This window comes from Homo sapiens, chromosome 3 (genome assembly GCF_000001405.40).
Source record: "Homo sapiens chromosome 3, GRCh38.p14 Primary Assembly".
Classification (NCBI taxonomy): domain Eukaryota; kingdom Metazoa; phylum Chordata; class Mammalia; order Primates; family Hominidae; genus Homo; species Homo sapiens.
In genome coordinates this window covers 140,474,656-140,502,649 of record NC_000003.12, presented here as the reverse complement: position 1 = coordinate 140,502,649, position 27,994 = coordinate 140,474,656, and the positions used below count along the sequence as shown (strand labels likewise).

Sequence of the window (27,994 nt, the reverse complement as noted above, 5' to 3'; positions counted from 1 at the left end):
CCCTGAAATTCTTCATAGATGCCAGGCACAATGTGCTCTGATTTCTGATTCTCTCAGTATTTTGAAGAGTGTTTATCAATATGTGTAATTCACGATTACTTTAGACAAACAAACAAAAAGCTCATCTTCCAAAAGGTGTTTAAAAGTGCTGGGCTGACCACACACAGGATAACCAAAGACCACCTCTGCTTGGTGGCTTCTGCATGCCTAAGACTCCCCAAGCTGTTTAATAAGGGCTCAATTCCTGATTGCCTTCACAGTGAACTGTGGGGTACAGGGGTCAGTAGCTGCCCTCTGTCCACCCTGTATGCAAACAGGCCTGCATCCTTCACTGCTCAGCCCCACAAGCCTGTGTTCATTTGCTACAATTTGCTCCATTTAGAGGTGTAGAATTAGTTGACTTTCAGGTCAGACAGTGCTGAGCCTGAAAGATGTGCCCTTCTGAGTCTCTGAGACATCTCCCTGGGGAAAGGCCCACTTGGGAGAAGGTTCCCTTTTTTTTATTTTACCCTTCACCCACCACCACCATAAGCACAGCCTGCTTTCATACATTTTGTGCCATACCCTGGGCTAAGATCTTTGCATTGCCTATTCTCCCAATAATTCTTGGAGGTATTACTATTATTTTCTCCATTTTACAAATAGACTGAAGCTCAGAGAGGTGGAATAACATGTCCAAGGTCACACAATGAGTTTGTGTCTACAGCCTTGCTGTTTGAACTGTGGGCCATGAACCAGCAGCACAGGCATCCCTTGGGAGCTGGTTAGAAATGTAGAATCATAGACTCCACCCCAGGCCTTCTGAATCTGAATCTTAACAAGTTCTCCAGGCAATTAACATGCACATTAAAGTTTGAGAAGTTCTGCTCTAAACCACTAAGCAGTACTATCACTCAAGAAAGAAAAAGAAAAACAATCATTTATTGGATGAGAATTTAGATAGAGTGTCTGTGTAAGGATTCTTGTAGGTCAAATGGAACTAGACACTGTGGGATGGGGGAGGGCCTTGGGAAACACAACTCAACTCTTACCAGCTGTGGCTCAGTTACATAATCTGATGAGAAAATCTGCTTTCTATGGTTATAAATTTTGCTAGAAAAAATTCATACAACTGACTCTGAAAAGCATGGAGCTCCCATTAACCCACTGTGGAGCTCTTACAGAGTTTGTCTGGGAGAGGAGCCGAGGCCTCCTGAAGGATTTCATTTAATCCCTAAGGACGCAAGGGTGCCCCTCCTTCCTGCATCTAGCCTTCAGGCTAGGCAGGAGAAAGCTAGTTTGCAGGAGGACTGGTATGAGGAAGTTATCCTTGTGTGGTGGCCATTGAAGCCAACAGCCTCCAAAGAGCATTAGAGTGACCAGGGCTGCTTTTGCAAACATCTGAACTGAATCTTTTTTATCCCTTAGCTTAATGAGGAAGCGATGGAATTTCAGGAACTTAATTATTGGCAAGCTAGAAAGTATGCAGGAGAGAGAGAAAGAGAACAAGAGCAAGGTGGGTGGAGGGAGCGAGAGTGACTGATTTGGGAATGAGGTAACTTGGGCACCATGTGTGTTAAGTGAAGGGCTGGCTCTCTCAACAGCAAGATTCGCTCCATTAAACAGTGTCAGGGGTTCCTTCCCTTCACCCGAACACTCAACTAGAAGTGAGAGGAACAAGACTGGTACTCAATCATAATGATTTAAATTATTTAAACCTGTTAATTGAGGTATTATTTATTTATTTATACTCCATTTCTCAGATTTAGGGTTAATTTGTATTAATAGATTCTTAATAGCCATGGTTAATGGCAACAGCACTAATCATTTTCCATTAATAAAATAATACTTTATTATTTTCAAAGTACCCCCACAATATTCCATTTTCTCCTCAGTCTCCCTGGGAGGATGAGTGGGTATAATATGCGTTCTACAAATGAAAAAAGTAAGGCCAGAAGAAGTACAATGATTTTATCAGAGGCAGCTTATGAGGTTGGGGGACTGGGACCAGAGCCCAGCTTTCCTAACTCTAGGAGGTACTTCTTCCTTGGCTGGCTTTTCCAGCCAACTGAGCAAACACGAAAACCAAACCAACAATAAAAACACAACACTAATCAAACACAGGCAAAGAATAGACAGGTCCAACACTCCTCTGATTCAGAAACATCCCAATTTCTTGTCCTTTAGTATAATCCTTGTTTTACATTCATGACTGTAGAATCCTGCTTGAATGGTTTACTTTGGTTCCATGATGGGATTGCTCATATCAGAAAGTTTGTCCTTCCCTCACAGATATTCTGAGTGCATTCCTAATTTTGAAGTAAGTCTTTCTTTCTGGGTCCTATATATTACCCAGATATTTTCTGGATCTTTAAACAATTGCCAATAAGGCTGCTTTTTGGACCAGCCTCTGACAGTCAAGTAGAAGAAATGCCTGAGTGTTATACCGAGTGGACAAAAGAAAAGATACTTGTTTCCAAAGTCCTCAAGGCTTACAAGCTGACTCTGAATTTCTGAAACCCCACTTGGGAGCCCTGAGCTCCCCATGAAGTTCCCTAATTTCCAATCTTTCCTACTTCTCAATGAGAACTTTTTTTTTTTTTTGAGACGGAGTCGCGCTCTGTCACCCAGACTGGAGTGCAGTGGCATGATCTCGGCTCACTGCAATCTCCACCTCCCAGGTTCACACCATTCTCCCGCCTCAGCCTTCTGAGTAGCTGGGACTACGGGCTCCCGCCACCATGCCCGGCTAATTTTTTTTGTATTTTTTAGTAGAGACGGGGTTTCACCGTGTTAGCCAGGATGGTCTCGATCTCCTGACATCGTGATCCGCCTGCCTTGGCCTCCCAAGGTGCTGGGATTACAGGTGTGAGCCACCGCGCCCAGCCAGAACCTTTGCATTTTTATAGGGTTATTAGGTACCTGTATCCCATGCATAACAAGAGGCAGAACTTCAGGTATCAGGGCAGGGCAATCAGAGAAGCTCAGTGAGAAGTATTTGAGGATGGGGTGATTTTTACCACCCCCTGCCTACACCATAGGCAATTCTGTCAGTGAGCAGAGCTGTCCTGCATAAAGAGCAGCCTCACTATCTCCAAATGCTCCCTCTGTATCCCAGGCCATTGGGCAGCTCAGCACCCAGGTGGGCCTTTGTTTCTTAGGTTACAATTCTCAGCCCAGAAAAAGAAAAGAATGCCCAAGCCAAAGGCATCCTCCCATGTCCTTGGCTGACCATTTAATTATAAGGTCCAATCAAACTAATTACACATTGGGGTCCTTGAAGACAGTAAGTAATTCAAGTCTGCTTTGCTGCTGAATTCCAGAAAGGTAGATTATTTTTATTACAGTCAGTAGATGGGGCTGTGGCTCATGCAGTTGAAAAGGCAAACCTTGAGACCAAGGGAGTCAAGAGAAAGAGAAGCGTCTTCAGATGACAAACTCTGTAAGGGCTCCATAGTGGGTTAGTGGAAGCTCCCTGCTTTTCAGAGTCAGGTATATGAATTATTTCTAGCAAAATTTATAACCATAGAAAGTAGGTTTTCTCATCAGATTATATTACTGAGCCACAGCTGGTAATAGTTGAGTCGTGTGAAGATTAAACAAGGCAAACCAGCCAGTGCACTGTTGGGCATATAGTAAATGCTCAATAAGTGGTTATTATTTTGATATAATGATTGTTAATTATTTGGTTTAGTGAAAAAAAAAAAAAACATTCAAGTGCTCACAATGCCAGACAGAGTGCTCAGTGCTGGGGATTCCAAAGGCATGCTGTCTTTGTACAATCTTGGATTTCCAATGACAATAGTAACCAAGGCTGAGAGGAAATCCTTCAGGAGACAAAATCTTTACACTTGGCCTGAGACATTCCATTCAAGTGTGGTAAAGAGGTGGTGACAACAGCTAGTGGTTGTGACAAGACATCCTCAGGTACCCACTTTAGCCACTCTGGGTCACTCCAGGGGATAAAAGAGAAGGGATGCCTTGAGGATACAACTTTCATTAAAGAGAGTGAATTAGCACAAAACAAATAATTGTTTAATTTTATTTGTACCTTGACCCACCAAAACTGCATATGGCGTGTGAAAATAAAATCAATACAAGATTTCTTTTAAAAAGAAATAGTAGTCATGGAAGGGAAACTGGATGTATCATACATGTCTCTGGGCTCCCCTCTGAGCTCGGCACCATCTGGGGCAGGAAAGGTGAGGGCATAGCCACTTGGCACTGGCTGCCTTCATGGCAAATACTCTGTGTGGTTCACCCAGCTGCTGCCCAGGGATGGCCTTCCCAAAGGTGCAACCCAACAGCACCTCACTCCATTAGGGGGGCTCCCTGATTGTCCCTGAAGAGTGGCAGAATTCATGCCCCTGCCACTCAGGTATGCAGGGGAATGAATGCTCCTGGAAAAAATCTTGGGCTGATTGGAGACCGGCGCCAGTGGATAAACTCTTCTCTCTTTCTCTTCTCACACAAGACACAATAGTTAATTATTTTTAGTTAGTAATTGCTTTAGATTATTAGAAAATGTCTTGGGGGAGAGTCCAAGATGACCAATTAGAAACAGCTGCAGTCCATGTCGCATAGAGAATGAAAACAGCAAGTGAATTCAGCACCTTCAACCGAAATATCTAGGTTCTCGCATTGGGACTGAATATGTGGAAGACTCGACCAATGGAGAAGGAAGAAAAGCAGGGTGGGGCGACAGCCCACCCTGGAGTGGTGCAGAGCCAAAGGAACCCCCAACGCCAGCCAAGGGAAGCTGTGAGTGATTGTATGACCCCTCCCGGAAAAACAGGCTTCTTCCATAGATGTTTGCAACCTGCAGATCAGGAGATTCCCTCATGAGTCCATGCCATCAGGGTCTTGGGTCTGATACACAGAACTGTGTGGAGTCTTGGCAGAGCAGTCACTCAGGCTCACTCAGAGACACAGGAGTTTTATAGACTCTGGCCCCAGGAATCCTAGCAAGGCAGGAGATCCATCCGTACACTCCCCTAGAAAGCACGCTGAATCCAGGGAGCTGAGAAGTGTCGTTCTGTGGACCCCACTTCCATGGCACCTCACAAGTTAGGACCCACTGGCTTGGAATTCCAGCCAGCAGGGGCAGCAGGCTGGAGAATGCCTGAGACGAAGGAGCTCCTGAGGTGGGGGCGGCCGCCATTTCTGCGGTGAGGTTGACTCAGCCATTCTAGCCTGCTGGCTTCGGGGAGTCCAGGTGGTTCGGTCAAGAAGCAATCCCCCATAGCACAGCACAGAGGCTGTGCCAGATCGTGGCCAGATAGCTTTTTCAAATGGGACCCCCAATCCATCCCTCCTGACTGGGCGGGGCCTCCCTGCAAGAATATCAGCTACTCCAGCCACGGTTATATGAATAAAACTCTGATCCCTCCCTGGGATGGAGCCCCTGATGGGAAGGGTGGCCAACATCTCTGCAGTTCAGTCAACTCAGCTTTTCCAGCCTGCTGGCTCTGGAGAGTCCAAGCTATCTGCACGAGGAAGGCTTACCCCCAACACTGCACACCTGCTCTACCAAAAAGCACCCAAACTGCTGCTTTTTTTTTTTTTTTTTTGAGACGGAGTCTCGCTGTGTCACCCAAGCTAGAGGTTAATAGCGCAATCTCGGCTTACTGCAATCTCTGCCTCCCAGGTTCAAGTGATTCTGCTGCCTCAGCCTCCCGAGTAGCTGGGATTACACGTGCATGCCACCACGTCCGGCTAATTTTTGTATTTTTAGTAGAGACAGGGTTTCACCATGTTTGCCAGGCTAGTCTCGAACTCCTGACCTGGTGATCCACCTGCCTCGGCCTCCCAAAGTGCTGGGATTACAGGTGTGAGCCACCGCGCCCGGCTAGACTGCTTGTTTAAGTAGGTCCGTGATCCTGTCCTTCCTGACTGGGTGAGACCTCCCAACAGGGGTCTCCAGACACCCCCTACAGGAGCATCCAGGCCAACAACAGGTCAGTACCCACCCTGCGCCTTTGATAAAATTCAACATCCCTTCATGTTAAAAACTCTCAATAAACTAGATATTGAAGGAACATACTAAAAATACTAAGAGCCATCTATGACAAACACACAGCCAATATCATACTGAATGGGTAAAAGCTGGACGCATTCCCCTTGAAAACTGCCACAAGACAAGGATGCCCTCTCTCATCACTTCTATTCAACATTGTATTGGAAGTTTGGCCCAGGAAATCAGGCAAGAGAAAGAAATGAAACGTATTCAAATAGAAAGAGAGGAAGTCAAGTTATCTTTGCTTGCAGATGACATGATCCTATATCTAGAAAATCCCATCACCTTAGCCCAAAAGCTTCTTAAGCTGATAAGCAACTTCAGCAAAGTCTCAGGATACAAAATCAATGTGCAAAAATCACTAGCATTCCTATACACCAAGAACAGACAAGCAGAGAGCCAAATCATTAAGGAACTCCCATTCACAATTGCTACAAAGAGAATAAAATACCTAAGAATACAGCTAACAAGGGAAGTGAAAGACCTCTTCAAGGAGAACTACAAACCACTGCTCAAGAAAGTCAGAGAGGACACAAGCAAATGGAGAAGCACTCCATGATCATGAATAGGAAGAATCAATGTTGTGAAAATGGTCACACTGCCCAAAGTAATTTATAGATTCAATGCTATTCCCATGAAACTACTATTGACATTCTTCATGGAATTTGAAGAAAGTATTTTAAAATTCATATGGAGCCAAAAAAGAGCCTGAATAGCCAAGACGATCCTAAGAAAAAAGAATAAAGCTGGAGGCATCATGCTACCTGACTTCAAACTATACTACAAGGGTACAGTAACCAAAACAGCATGGTACTGGTACAAAAACAGACACATAGACCAATGGAACAGAATAAATAACTTAGAAATAAGACCATACACCTACAACCATCTGATCTTTGACAAACCTTGCAGAAATAAGCAATGGGGAAAGGATTCCCTATTTAATAAATGGTGCTGGAAGAACTGGCTAGTCATATGCAAAAAATTGAAACTGGACCCCTTCCTTACACCTTTATACAAAAATTAACTCAAGATAGATTAAATACTCAAATGTAAAACCCAAAACTATGAAAACTCTAGAAGAAAACCTAGGCAATAACATTCAGGACATAGTCATGGGCAAAGATTTCATGACAAAAACACCAAAAACAATTGCAACAAAAGCAAAAATTGACAAATGGGATCTAATTAAACTAAAGAGCTTCTGCACAGTAAAAGAAGCTATCATCAGAGTGAACAGACAACCTATAGAATGGGAGAACATTTTTGCAATCTATCCATCTGACAAGGGTCTAATACCCAGAGCCTACAAGAAACTTAAACAAATGTACAAGGAAAAAAAAACATTAAAAAGTAGGCAAAGGACATCAACAGATACTTCTGAAAAGAAGACATTCTTGCAGCCAACAAACATATTTACAGAAAGCTCAACATCACTGATTGGTCATTAGAGAAATGCAAGTCAAAACCACAATGAGATACCATCTCATGCCAGTCAGAATGGCTAAAAATAAGAAGTCCAGAAACACCAGATGCTGATGAGTTTACAGAGAAAACGAAGCACTTTTATACAGTTGGTGGGAGTGTAATTTAGTTCAACCATTGTGGAAGACAGTGTGGCGGTTCTGCAAAAATCTAGAGGCAGAAATACAATTTGACCCAGCAATCTCATTACTGGGTATATATCCGAAGGAATATAAATCATTCTATTATAAAGATATATGCACATATATGTTCATTGCAGCACTATTCACAATAGCAAAGACATAGAATCAATCCAAATGTCCATCAATGATAGACTGGATAAACAAAATGTGGTACATATACACCATGGAATACTCTGTAGCCATAAAAAGGAATGAGAGCATGTCCTTTGCAGGGATATGAATGGAGCTAAAAGCCATTATCCTTAGCAAACTCACATAGGAACTGGAAACAAAACATGCATGTTCTCACTTATAAGTCAGAGCTGAATGACGAGAACACATCAACACATTAGGGGGCACAACACACACTGGGACCTGTTGGGGGTGAGGTAGGGGAAGAGAGAGCATCAGGAAGAATATCTAATGGATGCTGGGCTTAATACCTAGGTGATGGGATGATCTGTGCAGCAAAGCACCATGGCACACATTTACCTATGTAACAAGCCTGCATATCCTGCACATGTACCCCAGAAGTTAAAAGTTGAAGGTCAAAATGAAAACAAACAAAAAATAATTGCTTTGGAAGAGCAATCAGCTGAACTTGATCAGAAGAGGTATCCGGCTTGATAACCTACCCTTTTGTTTACCTCCCTCATTCTCTTACCTCTCACAGTCCTCTCCCTGGGCTTGTGATCTTTATTGTGAAGGAGAACGTCATAAACTTTTGCACTGGGCTTTGCTTTTTGGGAATGCAGACTAAGAGGGAATGTTAAGATGAACCCTTGAAGGAGGTGTATATGCTTTGCACCCTGAATGTATGATGACAGAGTTTATATTCTTTAGCAGAGGGTCACACAATTGGTTCTAAGCTTTGTAGCAGCCAATACAAAAGGAAACTTGATGTAATATTGTCTTATTATGTCCATAAAATTAAAAGTTATCTGTTGTTAAAGAAAAACAGATTTTTTTCTTGTATGGAGTCCAGATAGAAATCCTTCTGTGGGTTTTCAAAAAAAGACATTCTGTGATGTGGACAGCTCTGTCCTCAACATCACCCTTTATTAATCTAATAATGAATTTGGGGAATTGGTTCTAATAACACCCTTCAACGTGGTCTAAAAGGTTGGCATCAAGATATGCCCTAGTAAGAGTAGGTTTTTAGAGAGACCGGTTAATGAGCTGTATGGCTAAGATAAGCCATTTCAATTCTCATAGGTCTCCCATCTATGACATGGAATAATGATTCCTCTTCACAGACTGCTGTGACGAATAAAAGAGTAAATGTAGGCAAAGCTCGTAGAGCAGATCCTAGCACAGAGAGGCTTAGGTGATGTTTGTGCCTTTGACCCTCTCCTTCCCCCTTCTGTTATATTATGACCTGGTTATGTTGTCCAGCCCCTGACATGATAGGACAGCTTTGCCAAGTATTTCTTGGTGACGGCCCACAGAACCTGGTTCATGCCTAGTATAAGGTAGGTATACACAGTAGGTGCTACTCACAAATATTTGGCTGAAGAAGCAAACTTGTCACATTGCCCTTAGGTTGCATGACTAATGCTACAGTTATAAGAACAGCATGACTGAGATTCCAAAGAGACCCTATATTGCCTGTAAATGATTCTTGACTATCCTAAATAATAACACAGATTTAATTAAAAACACTTTAAAGACATCCTTTCAAAGCCTTGCCCCAACCCTCTGTTGCTTTATCAGGCTCTCAATTTGCTGACTTGAGTGTGATTTTTGCTGAAACCTCTAAATGGCAAATCACATTTTCATCCCGAAGTGTCTGAGATAAAGCCATGTGAGAGAATGGAATAATTAAAGGCCAAAAAGGTAAACCCAGCCAGGAAGGCAATGGGAAAACATGAGTGAGGCAATAATGTTCCCAGACGTTTTTTCCTTTGCTGATTAAACCAAAGGTCTTGGTTGTAAATTAGAACCTTGTTCTCCTGAAATATTAATCTATGTCTGAAGTGAAAAAAATAAAAACCTCCATGGTTGATTGTAACAATTCCAACTGCTGGTGAGTGTCCTTGGCAGACAACCCTGATAAGTAGGGTTTGTCAGACTCTTCTGTGGAATATTCCTTTATATGGTGGGAGTCCCCTGTCTCCTGCGGGGGCAGTTTGTCTGCAGATTCTGGAGCTCTTCTCATCCCTGTTCATTTCCATCCATCCATCCATCCAACCAGGCAGACAGCATATACTTACAGAGCCCCTACTATGAGTCAGACACAGCTCTAGTTCTGGGGGATATAGTAGGAAATAATACAAAGTTCCTACTCTTATGGAGAGATACTATTTACATAAACATATTTATATAGAATGTAAACCAAGGTTACCCATCTTGATGTTCATTCATCCAAATTTCTTTGAGCAAAGTTCAAAAGGCTTAGCTTTTCTGGTTGTAAGGTGAGTGACTGTGTGTTCCTGAGAGGTTAAGGGACACCTTGGATTTAGTCCTGTATTTCAAGCGTCCAGCATAAAATCCAGAACACAGTATACACTCAGAGAAAGTGTGTTCAATGACAGTAATCTACTATCCTCATGGACATGGATAATGTCTTATTGCCGCTGCTACTTCTTTGCTCCAGAATAGGTTTTAGTTCTTTCAATTAGCATTTTCTGAGACCTGTTTATTGCTCAAAGATTATACATGTCTTTTAATAAACACATGTATTTTTCGGCTGGGTAGGTGACTAGGAATGGAACTACTGGGCCCGCTTTAGCAGATATTGCCAAATAGTTTTCTAAAGAGGCTGTACCAATTTATACTCCCACAAGCAATATACAAAACTCCCAGTTGCTCTGCATTCTTGCCAAATCCTGGTATCATCTCTTTTGAAATTTATTTTTTTTTAAGCCATTATGGTGGGTGCTTGGTATAGCTCACTGTGGATTTAAATTTTGCATTTCCCCAACATATAATGAAGTTGAGCACCTTTACGTGTGTTTATTGGCCATTTGGATAACTTGTTTCTTAAAGGGCTTTTTTGGGTCTTTTGAAGGTCCAGGGTCTTTGTCTTCTTTGTTCAATGTTGTATTTGCAGGCTCCACAGAAATGCCTGCCAGGTAGGAGTCTCCCAAAGGAAGTATTTGTTAAGTAAATGAACAAATTCACATACCTCTTCTGTCACTTTCTTAATATTTTTATTTAAACTAGCTTACTTTTACTTAAGTATTTGAGACAGCGTCTCACTCCAGTTGCCCAGGCTGGAGTGCAGTGGTGCAATTTCGGCTCACTGCAGCCTCAACCTCCTGGGCTCAGGTGATTCTCCCACCTCAGCCTCCTGAGTAGCTGGGACTATAGATGTGTAGCACCATGTCTGGCTAATTTTTTGGATTCTTATTAGAGAGCGGTTTTGCCACGTTGCCCAGGCTGATCTCCAACTTCTGGACTCAAGCAATCTGCCCGCCTTGGCCTCCCAAAGTGTTGGGATTACAGGCGTGAGCTACCACACCCAGTCTAAAATAATTTTATTTCATTTTACAACTGTGAAGTCATGTTTTAATGTGTAAGTTACACCTTTTCTCCTATGCATTAAAATAAATGGGTAACTACTAAAATTTTTAAAAGTTCATTCAAGTATTTCTAATATCTCTCTCTAATGTCATTGCTGGTATATCAATATCCCTCAAATTAAATGAATTGATACCACTGAAACATTTAAGTGCTCATTACATGTTAGCTATGATTAGATTACCTTACCACCAGCAAATCCAGGGCAAGGATGAAATGAGGATTTGGAAAATGTGTCTTAGCAAGGCAGTGGTGGTTTTTAGAAAGATCATGAAGGCAAAGTAGAAGGGAGTAAAGAGAAGGCCGGAGGGGCACCAGACTGGCCAGGAGACAGAGAAAGACAAATTAACACTTGATTTGGTTGTCATATAAAGTATGCTTTTCAAGATTTTAAGTGACCATTTGTGTTTTACTCCACAGATAAAAAGCTTTAAGTTTATTAGGGACGTATGACTTACGGGGGTTGACACCGTGCTAAAATCTTCTTAATGAACAGGTTTCCAATGTTCTGCCTCTCTCTGTCTCTCTGGATAAACTGCTATTAGAAGAAATGCAGAAATGGGACAGCCCTTAGTGATCAAGTGCAGTGAGAAAGTCTCACTGGCTTGGCCGCTCTTATCAGCCATTCACATGAATGCTTCCTGGCTACATGTGGGCAGGTACTAGACATCACAGCTGGGCAGGCTAGGCTGCGAGACCTTTGTGAGGTGTGGGGTCTGCTCCTCGTTACTGAGCAGATCGTAGTATCAATGTTCAGCCTATGACACTGCTTGGTGAAAGACTTCCTATAACTGTTAAGTGAGAAGTCACAGAATTTCACTCTTGAAGCCAAGGGCCTCTCCAGAACATAGTCCCAGTGGATGTGCCATGTTTTTTTTTTTTTTTTTTTTCTGAGACAAGGTCTCGCTCTGTCACCCAGGATGGAGTACAGTGGCACAATCTCAGCTCACTGCAGCCCGATGTGTCACATTTTGAAGTGGTCCAGGGCAAATAGCAGCAAGGATGAGAGCCTTCTTTGTGGCCCAGCTTCAGTTTTCTGGAATAAGTGTCCGTGGGATGCCCCTGATCTGGGTGGAAAATGATTCCGCAGTGTTGCCCATTAGGTGCTGCTTCTGGGGATGTGTCTAGCATGGAGGAACTGGGGGCCTTCATGTACAGCCCTGACTCCAATAGGAAGGGATCCTTCCTTCATAAGGAGATTTAAAGGCCCTCCACCCATATCCTTGGAGGTGAGAGAATACACAGAGAAATGACCGGTGTGGATTCCATATGGCCCACAGAGCAGAGACCCAGAGGATCTGGTTAGAGGCAGAGGCTGTATATATGTGTGTGTGTGTGTGTGTGTGTGTGTGTGTGTGTGTGTGTGTGTATATATATATATATATATATATATATATACACACACACACACACACACACACACACACACACACACACACACACACACACACACACACACACACACACACACACATGTACTTCTTTTTTTTCTTGTCTGTTGCCATCCTCCTCATCTCATGATCTGGGCTGCTCACTCCTATAGACTAACGACCTGTACCTGTCCGGGACCCTAGACGCACTATTTCTCTGGCAAAAGAATGCACACTTGATTCAAAACTCAGCGTTTCTATTTCCTGGCCAGTTGATACAGAGCCAGTTGTTTTCTAATCTTTCCAAGCCACAGTTACCTCACATCTGAGTAATGGGTAATGAGACACTGAGGTGAAGATGTGTAAAATGCATAGCAAGGGCCTGTGAACAATTTATCTGCCTACATCCTCCCAAAAAGCCCATTCTGGTTCCCTTTTAGAGCCAACACAGGGTTGATTTCATCCCAGTATCTTTAGAATGGGCCGGGGTGTGGTGGGTGTTTAAACATTGTCAGGTCCTCTCCCTGCTGCTCCATGCAAGCCTTCCACTACCCCCAGGCCCAGTTAGGTGATCCCTCCCAGACAGTCTTCTGTATGTGGCTCCTGTCTATCCCTGATCATGGTACTGTAATTACCTTTCTCTCCCACTAAACTCTAAGCTTCAGGGCCAGGATTGAGCCTCACTCACTGCCATAGGGCCCAGAAAACTCTCTAGCACACAGCAGCCCTCAACACATGCTGTTTCTTCCACTTAAGTTGCTTTTTATCCTAAAGCAAGATGCATAAAGCTACACAAAACAAGTGCAGAACTTAATGAACTATTATGGAGTGAGCATCCTTATAGCCACACCCAGGCCAATAATTGAAACCTTACCAGCTGTGCAGAAGCCCCTTCCCTGCACCCCATCCCAATGTCAACCACGATTCTCCTCCCAACCACCACTCTCCTCTCAACTACTACTCTCTTCCCAAAAGTATCCATTGTCTTGACTTTTACAGTCTTCACCTCTCTCCCATTTTATCACTTAAATCTGTATCCCTAGACACTGTAGTTGAGTTTTGTCCATGAAAAAACTAATTTATGTTTTTCAAAACTTTTTAATCTGTAGCTTATACATTCATTGTTTTCTTTTCCTTGCAATTTATCTGTTGAAGAACACAGGATAATAGATTTTCCCAGTCTGGATTTTGTTATTTGCACACTCATGTGTTCCTCTGTCCCAGTATTTCCTGCACATAGCCAATCAGATCTAGGCTTATTTTGTTCATTTTTGCCCCAACTCAGAATCAGCTGTTTCTTTAAGAGACTCTGGAATCTTTTAGTGCAAATGGTGTTTTAAGACCACAATCTGAATGTGATTTTCTGTTTGTCAGTTCTGTTTGCCATACTTCTGTTTGCCAGTTCGCCAGTATACTCCCTGCTCCAGTGACTGGTATGAAGTAGCTGCTGCTAAAAAAAAAAAAAAAAAAAAAAAAAAGCACGTATTAAATGCATTCCACAGCAGAACTGTGGTTACTTCATCTACAGTTTCTAAATCTCAGTCAGTCATCTGTCTATCTCTGCATGTGAGTGTGAGACCGTGATGGCCAACAAAACATTTCCATGGGTCAAGTGTTCTGCTGTCACTATGTTAATTTTGCTTTACATTCATTACCATCATTGAATCTTCATAACCACTCCTGAGGTGTTCATATTTATCCTCATTTTACAAATGAGGATACTAAGGCTCAGAGAAGTGAAGTGACTCACCTAAGGTCACACAGATAATAAGAGACAGAGCTGAGTGGCAAACAGATCTGAGAAACTCCAAAGCCTACATTCCTTTGACTGCTCCATAATGAACATTTGTCCCTGAAATATGTTTGTTCATTTTTAAATTTGATCTTGACCAAAACTTCTTGATGAATGGATAAGTGAATGAATATGTACTTCATGGGGCACAGTGTAGACACAGCCTTGTTCTACACTCAAACTCCCTAAGGAATGCTTTTTTTTCTTCTTCTCTGGGTTCCTAATGTGACATACTGTTGCTAGATGTGGCAGAGGGATATTTTTAGTGTTTTGTAATAAACCCGAATGTGCATCTTTGCTCTTGGCTTATAAGACTCATTTTATGTCTATGTTTACAGGCAGAAAAATAAGTGGCTGATATCAAATAATTCTTCAAGTTCCAGTTCATATTTATAACCCTATTGTGGGCTCACTTTTTATTTGAGTCTAGATAATAGATATAAGACTCTGTCTTTGCTTTGTGTCCAAATAGCTATAGCCTTATTGTTCCCTGTATTTGTGACTAATGAAACATTTGACATAGTTGTGTTTGATGGAAACAGAAGCAGACCATGTGACAGGGCTATTACTAAGCTCTCCACTTCCAGGGCAGCCTAAACAGAGGGACAAGGGGTCTTCAGTATCTAACATTTCATGTGATGCTGAGGAGGCAGACGTTAGGCTTTTCTGTTGGGAGAGGGAGAGTTCTGTCTTTCCCATGAACACATAAGAAATTACTGCTTGCTGAAGAGAAGACAGGCATGTGGAGCCATGGGGTCTAGCATAGGAATAGTTCTAGCACTGTTCTCTGTTTTCTACTTTGGACACTGGAATCAGAACAGTGTTGAAACAAACACCAACTCATTCTCACTGATACAGAGAAGGGGAGGTCAAACTATGGTTTTACCTTTAATTAGCTTAGAAGATTATAAGGAAACTGGCAGGAAAGCCTCTATTGGGCTGTTCTCAGAAGCTGGTTTACCTCTTGAGGGAAAAATGGCTGAGAGGCCTGGAGATAAGCAATGAGGATTCAAAGTATTTTCCAAATAAATATGGGAGACTCTTGGTGCATATAAGCAATAATTTCTGAGATCTTTGTGGATACCCACCCAACTCATGAATACTACCTATAATTTTCCCCTTCAAACATCTAATTTATGGCTAAAACCATTACTTTTTCAGACTCTTTCACCCTAATCACTTCCATGACTATCATCAACAGTTTGAATAGAGAGTGATTTTTCTGTTTATAAAGGGAAAGAAGGCACCTGCTCTTTCAGGTATTCCTCTCGACTCCTTGGGGCCTTAGCACAGGTCCATACTGAGGCAAGGCTGACACTATTGTGTGCATCCTGGAATCAGCAAATCCCACACTCCTAAGTCATTCTCCAAATGCCTTAAACTTACATCTGTTGGTGCTCTCTTACTTTCCCAGGTCCAAAACTCAGAATTTTCTCTCTAGGCTTTCGAGAATCCTGTTTCATGCCAAATAAGCAACTCTGGACATGTGCCCAACTTCCAATTCAGGGTTTGAAGGTGAGACTGGGCCCTCCTTCATTATTCACGCACCTCTACAGCATTTTCCTTCAGCATTCTCTAGATATTCCTGGTCCAATTTCTCCTTTCCTACCTGTGGCCCATATATAATGAACACTTCTTGCCAATGATACTACCTTTGCCCTTTTGTCTGTCTATTTCAAGAAACCTATGACATCTGGAGCTTGAAGTTTTTTGCCTGGGAGTACTCCTCCCTCTGCCTGAGTACTCATAGACTCTGAACTAAAGTGGGCCTTCCTTAATATGCATCTTTGTCTTATCACAGTATTCTTAGAGTTAACATTGTAACACTTCACATAAAGTTTAAGAACTTTGCATCAGTAGAACTCATTTAACACCTCCATCCTTTTTTTGTTGTTGTTCTATTGTTCCTTTGCCCTTAAATACATTATATGCCCCACAATACACAGTTATAATCATTGGATTTAACAGTCATGGTCATTTAAAGAAATGAAAGAAGGAAGGACAGTCTTTTATATTTATTTACATAATTACCATTTCCAATGCTCTTTCTTTCCTATGAATCTGTTTTTCATTCTGATATCCCTTCCTTTCTACTTGAAGGACTTCCTTTGTCATTCCATTGTCTTTTGGTTTCCAAAGTTTTCAGTAAAATGTTGTTTGTCATACACATTGGTCTTTTCCCATATGTAATGTGTCTTTTTCTCTGGGTGCTCTTAAGAGTTTATCTTTGTGGGGTGGAGCCAAGACGGCCAAATAGGAACAGCTCCATTCTACAGCTCTCGGTGTGAGCAATGCAGAAGATGGGTGATTTCTGCATTTCCAACTGAGGTACCGAGTTCATCTCACTGGGGGGTTGTCGGACAGTGGGTGCAGCGCACCAAGTGTGAGCCGAAGCAGGGTGAGGCATCGCCTCACCTGGGAAGCGCAAGGGGTCAGGGAATTCCCTTTCCTAATCAAAGAAAGGGGTGACAGACGGCACCTGGAAAATCGGGTCACTCACACCCTAATACTACTGTGCTTTTCCAATGGTCTTAGCAAACGGCACACCAGGATATTATATCCTGCGCATGGCTCGGAGGGTCCTATGCCCATGGAGCCTCACTCATTGCTAGCACAGCAGTCTGAGATCAAACTGCAAGGCAGCAGTGAGGCTGGGGGAGGGGTGCCTGCCATTGCCGAGGCTTGAGTAGGTAAACAAAGCAGCCGGGAAGCTCGAACTGGGTGGAGCCCACTGCAGCTCAAGGAGGCCTGCCTGCCACTGTAGACTCCACCTCTGGGGGCAGGGCATAGCCAAACAAAAGGCAGCAGAAACCTCTGCAGACTTAAATGTCCCTGTCTGACAGCTTTGAAGAGAGTAGTGGTTCTCCCAGCACACAGCTTGAGATCTGAGAACAGACAGACTGCCTCCTCAAGTGGGTCCCTGAGCCCCAAGTAGCCTATCTGGGAGGCACCCCCTAGTAGGGGCCGACTGACACCTCACACGGCTGGGTACCCCTCTGAGACAAAACTTCCAGAGGAACAATCAGGCAGCAACATTTGCTGTTCACCAATATCCGCTGTTCTGCAGCCTCTGCTGCTGATACCCAGGAAAACAGGGTCTGGAGTGGACCTCTAGCAAACTCCAACAGACCTGTGGCTGAGGGTCCTCACTGTTAGAAGGAAAACTAACAGATAGGACATCCGCACCAAAATCCCATCTGTACGTCACCACCATCAAAGACCAAAGGTAGATAAAACCACAAAGATGGGGGAAAAACAGAGCACAAAAACTGGAAACTCTAAAAATCAGAGTGCCTCTCCTCCTCCAAAGGAACACAGCTCCTCACCAGCAATGGAACAAAGCTGGACGGAGAATGATTTTGATGAGTTCAGAGGAGAAGGCTTCAGACGATCAAACTACTCTGAGCTAAAGGAGGAAGTTCGAACCCATGGCAAAGAAGTTAAAAACCTTGAAAAAAAATAAGACGAATGGCTAACTAGAATAGCCAATGCAGAGAAGTCCTTAAATGACCTGATGGAGCTGAAAACCACAGCACGAGAGCTACGTGATGAATGCACAAGCCTCAGTAGCCGATTCGATCAACTGGAAGAAAGGGTATCAGTGATGGAAGATCAAATGAATGAAATGGAGAAGAGAACTTTAGAGAAAAAAGAATAAAAGGAAATGAACAAAGCCTCCAAGAAATATGGGACTATGTGAAAAGACCAAATCTACATCTGATTGGTGTACCTGAAAGTGATGGGGAGAATGGAACTAAGTTGGAAAACACTCTGCAGGATATTATCCAGGAGAACTTCCCCAACCTAGCAAGGCAGGCCAACATTCAAATTCAGGAAATACAGAGAATGCCACAAAGATACTCCTTGAGAAGAGCGACTCCAAGACACATAATTGTCATATTCACCAAAGTTGAAATGAAGGAAAAAATGTTAAGGGCAGCCAGAGAGAAAGGTCGGGTTACCCACAAAGGGAAGCCCATCAGACTAACAGCTGATCTCTTGGCAGAAACTCTACAAGCCAGAAGAGAGTGGGGGCCAATATTCGACATTCTTAAAGAAAAGAATTTTCAACCCAGAATTTCATATCCAGCCAAACTAAGCTTCATCAGTGAAGGAGAAATAAAATCCTTTGCAGACAAGCAAATGCTGAGAGATTTTTGTCACCACCAGGCCTGCCGTAAAAGAGCTCCTGAAGGAAGCACTAAACATGGAAAGGAACAACTGGTACCAGCCACTGCAAAAACATGCCAAATTGTAAAGACCATCAAGGCTAGGAAGAAAATGCATCAACTAACGAGCAAAATAACCAGCTAACATCATAATGACAGGATCAAATTCACACATAACAATACTAACCTTAAATGTAAATGGGCTAAATGCTCCAATTAAAAGACACAGACTGGCAAATTGGATAAAGAGTCAAGACCCATCAGTGTGCTGTATTCAGGAAACCCATCTCATGTGCAGGACAGACATAGGCTCAAAATAAAGGGATGGAGGAAGATCTACCAAGCAAACGGAAAGCAATAAATAAATAAATAAATAAAATCAGAGCAGGGGTTGCAATCCTAGTCTCTGATAAAACAGACTTTAAACCAACAAAGATCAAAAGAGACAAAGAAGGCCATTACATAATGGTAAAGGGATCAATTCAACAAGAAGAGCTAACTATCCTAAATATATATGCACCCAATACAGGAGCACCCAGATTCATAAAGCAAGTCCTTAGAGACCTACAAAGAGACTTAGACTCCCACACAATAATAATGGGAGAGTTTAACACCCCACTGTCAACATTAGACAGATCAATGCGACAGAAAGTTAACAAGGATATGCAGGAATTGAACTCAGCTCTGCACCAAGCAGACCTAATAGACATCTACAGAACTCTCCACCCCAAATCAACAGAATATACATTTTTTTCAGCACCACACCACACCTATTCCAAAATTGACCATATAGTTGGAAGTAAAGCACTCCTCAGCAAATATAAAAGAACAGAAATTATAACAAACTGTCTCTCAGACCACAGTGCAATCAAACTAGAACTCAGGATTAAGAAACGCACTCAAAACCGCTCAACTACATGGAAACCAAGCAACCTGCTCCTGAATGACTACTGGGTAAATAACGAAATGAAGGCAGAAATAAAGATGTTCTTTGAAACCAACGAGAACAAAGACACAACATACCAGAATGTCTGGGACATATTCAAAGCAGTGTGTAGAGGGAAATTTATAGCACTAAATGCCCACAAGAGAAAGCAAGAAAGATCTAAAATTGACGCCCTAACATCACAATTAAAAGAACTGGAGAAGCAAGAGTAAACACATTCAAAAGCTAGCAGAAGGCAAGAAATAACTAAGATCAGAGCAGAACTGAAGGAAATAGAGACAAAAAAGACTCTTCAAAAAATCAATGAATCCAGGAGCTGGTCTTTTGAAAAGATCAACAAAATTGATACACCGCTAGCAAGACCAATGAGGAAGAAAAGAGAGAAGAATCAAATAGACGCAATGAAAAATGATAAAGGGGATATCACCACAGATCCCACAGAAATACAAACTACCATCAGAGAATACTATAAACACCTCTATGCAAATAAACTAGAAAATCTAGAAGAAATGGATAAATTCCTTGACATATGCACCCTCCCAAGACTAAACCAGGAAGAATTTGAATCTCTGAATAGACCAATAACAGGCTCTGAAATTGAGGCAATTATTAATAACCTACCAACCAAAAAAAGTCCAGGACCAGATCGATTCACAGCTGAATTCTACCAGAGGTACAAGGAGGAGCTGGTACCATTCCTTCTGAAACTTCCAATCAATAGAAAAAGAGGGAATCCTCCCTAACTCATTTTATGAGGCCAGCATCATCCTGATACCAAAGCCTGGCAGAGACACAACAAACAGAATTTTAGACCAGTATCCCTGATTAATATTGATGCAAAAATCCTCAATAAAATACTGGCAAACTGAATCCAGCAGCACATCAAAAAGCTTATCCACCACAATCAAGTTGGCTTCATCCCTGGGATGCAAGGCTGGATCAACATACGAAAATCATAAACGTAATCCAGCATATAAACAAAACCAACAACAAAAACCACATGATTATCTCAATAGATGCAGAAAAGGCCTTTGACAAAATTCAACAACGCTTCATGCTGAAAACTCTCAATAAATTAGGTATTGATGGGATGTATCTCAAAATAATAAGAGCTATCTATGACAAACCCACAGCCAATATCATACTGAATGGGCAAAAACTGGAAGCATTCCCTTTGAAAACTGGCACAGGACAGGGATGCCCTCTCTCACCACTCCTATTCAACATAGTGTTGGAAGTTCTGGCCAGGGCAATCAGGCAGGAGAAAGAAATAAAGGGTATTCAATTAGGAAAAGAGGAAGTCAAATTGTCCCTGTTTGCAGACGACATGATTGTTTATTTAGAAAACCCCATCGTCTCAGCCCAAAATCTCCTTAAGCCGATAGGCAACTTCAGCAAAGTCTCAGGATACAAAATCAATGTGCAAAAATCACAAGCATTCTTATACACCAATAACAGACAAACAGAGAGCCAAATAATGAGTGAACTCCCATTCACAATTGCTTCAAAGAGAATAAAATACCTAGGAATCCAACTTACAAGGGATGTGAAGGACCTCTTCAAGGAGAACTACAAACCACAGCTCAAAGAAATAAAAGAGGATACAAAGAAATGGAAGAACATTCCATGCTCATGGGTAGGAAGAATCAATATCGTGAAAATGGCCATACTGCCCAAGGTAATTTATAGATTCAATGCCATCCCCATCAAGCTACCAATGACTTTCTTCACAGAATTGGAAAAAAACTACTTTAAAGTTCATATGGAACCAAAAAGGAGCCCACATTGTCAAGTAAATCCTAAGCCAAAAGAATAAAGCTGGAGGCATCATGCTACCTGACTTCAAACTATACTACAAGGCTACAGTAACCAAAATAGCATGGTACTGGTACCAAAACAGAGATATAGACCAATGGAGCAGAACAGAGCCCTCAGAAATAATGCCACGTATCTACAACTATCTGATCTTTGACAAACCTGACAAAAACAAGAAATGGGGAAAGGATTCCCTATTTAATAAATGGTGCTGGGAAAACTGGCTAGCCATATGTAGAAAGCTGAAACTGGATCCCTTCCTTACACCTTATACAAAAATTAATTCAAGATGGATTGAAGACTTAAATGTTAGACCTAAAACCATAAAAACCCTCGAACAAAACATAGGCAATACCATTCAGGACATAGGCATGGGCAAGGACTTCATGTCTAAAACACCAAAAGCAATGGCAACAAAAGCCAAAATTGACAAATGGGATCTAATTAAACTAAAGAGCTTCTGCACAGCAAAAGAAACTATCATCAGAGTGAACAGGCAACCTACAGAATGGGAGAAAATTTTTGCAATCTACTCATTGGACAAAGGGCTAATATCCACAATCTACAATGAACTCCAACAAATTTACGAGAAAAAAACAAACAACCCCATCAACAAGTGGGTGAAGGATATGAACAGACACTTCTCAAAAGAAGACATTTATGCAGGCAAAAGACAGATGAAAAAATGCTCATCATCACTGGCCATCAGAGAAATGCAAATCAAAACCTCAGTGAGATACCATCTCACACCAGTGAGAATGGTGATCATTAAAAAGTCAGGAAACAACAGGTGCTAGAGAGGATGTGGAGAAATAGGGACACTTTTACACTGTTGGCGGGACTGTAAACTAGTTCAACCATTGTGGAAGTCAGTTGGCGATTCCTCAGGGATCTAGAACTAGAAATTACCATTTGACCCAGCCATCCCATTACTGGGTATATACCCAAAGGATTATAAATCATGCTGCTATAAAGACACATGCACATGTATGTTTATTGCGGCACTATTCACAATAGCAAAGACTTGGAACCAACCCAAAGGTCCAACAATGATAGACTGGATTAAGAAAATGTGGCACATATACACCATGGAATACTATGCAGCCATAAAAAATGATGAGTTCATGTCCTTTGTAGGGACATGGATGAAGCTGGAAATCATCATTCTCAGCAAACTATCGCAAGGAGAAAAAACCAAACACTGCATGTTCTCACCCATAGGTGGGAACTGAACAGTGAGAACACATGGACACAGGAAGGGGAACATCACACACTGGGGCCTGTTGTGGGGTTGGGGGAGGGATAGCATTAGGAGATATACCTAATGCTAAATGACGAGTTAACGGGTGCAGCACACCAACATGGCACATGTATACATATGTAACAAACCTGCACGTTGTGCACGTGTACCCTAAAACTTAAAGTATAATAATAAAAAAAAAAGAGTTTATCTTTATTTTCGGTCATCAACAGGTTGAGGATAGTGTGATTAGGTATTGCTTTCTTTGTATTTATTCGGCTTGGGGCTTGCTGATCTTATTCAATCTTTACGATGGTGTTTTGAATCAAACATAGTAAGTTTTCCACCACTTCTTCAATTAATTATTTAATGCCTTGTTCACTTTTTCCTGTCCTTTGGTACTTTTGAGGCTCTCTTTCTTCCATTTCTATTCTCTTATGTGCGAAATCCATATTTTCACTTTAGATATTGTATTTTTCCACTCTACATTTTACATTTCTGTATAGTTTCATTTATCTGCTGAGATTCCCTATCAGTTCATTCATTATGACAATCCTTACTTTTAAGTTTGTAAACATGTAGAATACTGTTTTAAAGTTATTTTCTTCTAATTCCAACATTTGTGTTCTATCAGGGTCTGTTTCTCTTGAATGATTTTACTCTGGACCTTAGGTCACATTTTCCTGTTTCCTCACATGTCCAGTGATTTTTATTGCACACTGGATATTATGGATAATACATAGTAGAAACTCTGGATTCTGTTATTGTTGATTTTTGTTAAATTACTGGATGATTACCTTGCACTTGTAGAAGTTTTGGTTTTATCCTTTATAGAGGTGTGTTTGTTTAGATTTACCCTTAGTCCTGGGCCAGTCCTTAAATCCTGGCACATAGTCTGTGCTTTTAAGGTGTATTTCTTCTGCATTTCACTGGAAAACTCTAGATGTTTACCTAGCCCTTCTTGGAGGAATTCCAAAATTTGTCTCCTTTGCAGTGAACAGTAGCTAAAATACCTGCTCAGATCTTTTCATTTTCTTTTCCTGACATTGCTTTCCCTGGGTTCCTGAAATCTCCTCTGTATATACACAGTTCTGTGAATACTCAGGGATTTGAGGGGAGTTTATGATCAGATTTTGACCTCCTTTCCTGCATCTCCATTCTTATTGGTATTAACTCAATTTCTGGCAACTCTGGCATTGATGAATTTCATCCTCTAACACCTTAGGCTCAGAGAATATGCCTGCCTCCCTTCCTTCCTTCCTTCCTTCCTTCCTTCCTTCCTCCTTCCCCCTTCCTTCCTTCCTTTCTTCCTCTCTCCCTCTTCCATCCCTCCCTCCCTCCTCCCTTCCTCCCTTCTTCCCTTCCCTTCCCTTCCTCCCTCTTTTTTCAGTTCTTGTTTTTAATCTTTATTGAAGTATGATGTATGCATCATAAGATTCACTCGTTGTAAGTGTATAATTCAGTGGTGTTAAGTAAATTTATATAGTTGTGCAACCATCACTGCAATCCAGTTTTAGAACATTTCCATTATCCAAAAAAAGTCTGTGCTCATTTGCAGTTGATTTCCACTTCAACCCCATGCCCTAGGCACCACTAATCTGCTTTCTGTCTCTACAAATCACCTTTTATGGAAATTTAATGTAAATTAAGTAATATAATATGTAGTCTTTGTTATCTAGGTTCTCTCACTTAGCATAATGTTTTTGAGATTCGTTCATGTTGTATGAGTCAATAGTTCATCTTATTGTTGAATAGCATTTCATACATGGACACGTACAGACTATTTACCTGTTAAAGGACAGCTTTTTTTTTTTTTTTTTTCTGGATGTTTTCATCCTCAGATGGTACCTGTATAGCTGAAATAGTGCTTGTAGACATAGGGACCACTGTTTGGGAACCACAGTGTAGAACATCAGCATATGCCATTTAGATAATTTTTTTAAAAAATTAAGAAGCATTCATTAAACACATATTTGTGTTAGAAACTCCTAAAAATTAAAAAGGTGAACAAGACGTGATAGTCCAATGCAGTGAAAGAAATAAACCAGTGAATAAATAAGTATCATAAGGTGTAAAAATGCTGTGGTAACAGTCTTTTCTTACCTTTTCACCATGAAGGTAAGGTCAACTCTCTATTGGGGAGGAAGTTACAGGAAAGTATTCCTGAAGGATGTGACCCCTGAGTATGGTCTTGAAAGATGAAAGGTAATTGGCTAGTCAGATAGTGGGAATGACTTCCCTGCCTATGACACAGTGTGTTTTATTCTTCTGAACCATGTAGACATGTTCACAGATAGTATTTTCCAGTCTGCCAGTGCCATTGGGGATTGCACTGTAGCAAACTATTTCTGTGAGTTTCTGCTGAGATCGACAAATGAAGAAATATAGTGAAGACTTGGTGGATACCCAGTTCTGCCAAACTATCTAAATCTTCTCAACAAGACAAGAACATAATGGAAAACAACTTGGAGCTTTGGAGCATGGTGCTTGGTCCAACACCTTTGGTAAATGACTTAATTTTTCAGAGCCTCAATTTCAGTATTTATAACATGGAGTTAAGTTTTAACCTCAAAAGTAACTGTGTAGTTTAGACCTAATGTATGTAAATCAAGAGTTTAGGGATTGGAACACTATAGCCTCTCAAAAATGCTAGTTTCCCTTTTTTCCCTCACATGTAATATGTTTCTGGTTAACGTTTCCTATTCTTGCACCTAAAACCACAAAGAGTTAGTGCAATTACAAGGCTTGTTTGTCTTTGGACTGCCACTTCTATTGCTTCAAAGCTACTGTCTTCTAAGTAACCAAGGGATGCAGTAGCTGCTTCATAATGAGACCTTGCTTCCTTCTAAGTGTGCACTGATTGTCAAGGTGATGAAGGAGGTTCATTATTTAGAGGTATAATTAAAGGGCACTTCCTTTAGCTAAACTAATGAGTAGTAAGTGCAGCAATATTTGCATGTTTAGACATTAAGGATGGAAACAAATGACTCATAGGAGATTGGGAGTAAGCAGGGATGGTAGAGCAAATTAATCTCGCTGCTGGGCCTCCAGGGTTATTGCTTTTTAAGACTTCCTCAAAGGAGTAGTCTTCCCTGGGAAGTTGGCTCCAGCCTTCTTTTGTCTTATGGAATGAACAGCCTTCTCATTACCTTGCCTCAGGAGCGAGGTGATCTTTGCTTCAAAAGATGCTAAAACAGGCTGGGCACGGTGGCTCACACCTGTAATCCCAGCACTTTGGGAGGCCAAGGCGGGTGGATCACGAGGTCAGGAGATCGAGACCATCCTGGCTAACACAGTGAAATCCCATCTGTACTAAAAATACAAAAAAATTAGCTGGGCATGGTGGCAGGCACCTGTAGTCCCAGCTACTCGGGAGGCTAAGGCAGGAGAATGGTGTGAACCCAGGAGGCGGAGCTTGCAGTGAGCCTAGATCACGCCACTGCACTCCAGTCTGGACCACAGGCGAGACTCCATATCAGGAAAAAAAAAAAAAAAAAAAAGATGCTAAAACATGATTCCTGATGAGCTGAACTTGAAATCTGTTTCTGGATGGACATCCATGCCTGGTTCTAAACATTTAGGGATATGAGTATATTCTTGTCCTCGTGCATATTCACTAAGATTGTACATTCACCCAAGTTAAGACTGGTGCCTTTTACCCTCTTGGAGTACGTATGTTTTGAGGTCATATGCAAGGTTTTTCCACTTCTCAGATGAGAGATGTGGAAAGCACCTTGCTATGTCTTCCACTCTTCATCCATAATCTGGGCATTTTGCCTAAATGGCATGATTTTTGTTAAAACTAAAAGAAAGTGCTTGATATAAATAAGAACTGAAAAAATGCTGGTTCCAAGTTCCCTTCTCACTGCACGTGGACTTCACAGTGGCCAGTGCCTTTGCATCATGTCTCCCAAGTAAGCAGGATTAGCAACGAATTGGCCATTACATATTAGGATTCAATTTTACCAATTTTTTGCCCTTTCATATCGTGGAAGTGACAGAAAATATCGTTCATATTATGAAAGCAAACATTTGGGTTCCAAGCCAAGGAGACGCCTCCCTCCCTCCCACTGGCACCAATCCCCAAAGGAAACGAGAAAGGTAGAAGCATGACACAATCGGTGCAGTGACTGAGCTCCTGCTGCTTCCATCAGGACTACTCCATGGCTTGAGTATCTTCATTTATTATTGAGTAGATTATTTGATTTACTAAGCATTTATAATTGTGTTGACGTTACTTCATTCTTTTTAACTGTAAAACAATATTCTTTTTAATGTTTATATTATTCCCTTCTTTTTAACGCTGATTTTAAATATGTATTAGGGGATGTCTACTGAAAACATGCATTCATTGCCTCTGGGCAGATGTACAGCCTGAAACACAAATAATGATTTTACAGAAGCAAACGGAATTGCTGAGCAGGTGCTCCTCAGGAAAAAAGAGACCAGACAGGATCCAAGCTTGCCAGAAAAAGGGGAGAAATGTAGAATCATTAGCATCTTTGATTTGTTGAGATTTAACAGTGATATAACCTTAGACTCCAAGTCAGGATGAGAAAGCAGGGGAAGTGGGTAAGACGGCAGCAGGGAAAGAATGGCATCCCTGTAGCTCTCTTCACTGAGAGTGTGGATTCTTCTTTAGAATAGGCTCTTCAGAAGAAAAATAAAGAAAATCCAAGTAATAATGAAAACCCAAGAAAACTTTGAGAAATCAGCTCTTCAAGGAAATGGCTCAGGATGTAATGTTAAATAAGCTATGGAAACCATCAGTGTGTTTGTGGAGACTATGTCTACAATAGGGCACATATGGAATTATCTGCTTATCAGATTTTTCTATTAGTTAGGTATGCAATATGCTCCATCAACATTGGGCAACACTGATCTGCACTTTGTTAAACTTCCCTTCCTTCCCTTTATTCACTTCACTGTGGTCTCTTGGTGACTCCCTCCTTTTAGTCATGGTACAGCCTCTGCAACACAGCAGACGTCTCTCACTTGCTGATAATCATAGCAGTCACTACTTGTTCATTGCCTGCTATAGATCTGAAACTACCTGCACTACAAGGGTGAGCTAGAGCAGAGAGTTTATTTAGAAGGTGATTCTAGGTTAGGAGGACAGATTAAGTGAGGAGAATGAGTTAAGGAAGGAGGAAAAGCCAATCCAAGAGGGTGTTAAGGTTATCATTGCGTGTAGTGGGGGCTTCTTTCCACTGAGGCCCCTGAGAAAGTGCAGGGTGCTGCCCAGAATTGCTCCTAACTTCCAGGACTGACTGCTTCTGCACCCCTTTGGGTGAGGGGTGCTCCTAGGGGTGATAACACTGCTGTGGTTCAGGACTGGGCTCGCCGGAGCCCAGCAGACTCCTGCAGCCTTGGAAAAGGCCCTGAGGAGAAAAACAGAACGGTCCAGTAGTGCAGGGTGTGCACTGCAGAGCAGATTGGCTGGGTAAAGTGGGTTTCTGTGCTGCTTTAGGGGAAAGGCAGGTATGGTCTAGAGAATCT

The 27,994-nt window shown here is 41.7% G+C and overlaps 1 protein-coding gene across 2 annotated transcripts in view; it reads right to left on the bottom strand.

Annotated features, from left to right (window-relative positions):
* CLSTN2 (calsyntenin 2) overlaps positions 1 to 27,994 on the bottom strand; it is a 642,213-nt gene that overhangs the window by 74,748 nt on the left and 539,471 nt on the right. The gene's annotated exons all lie outside the window — the stretch shown is intronic.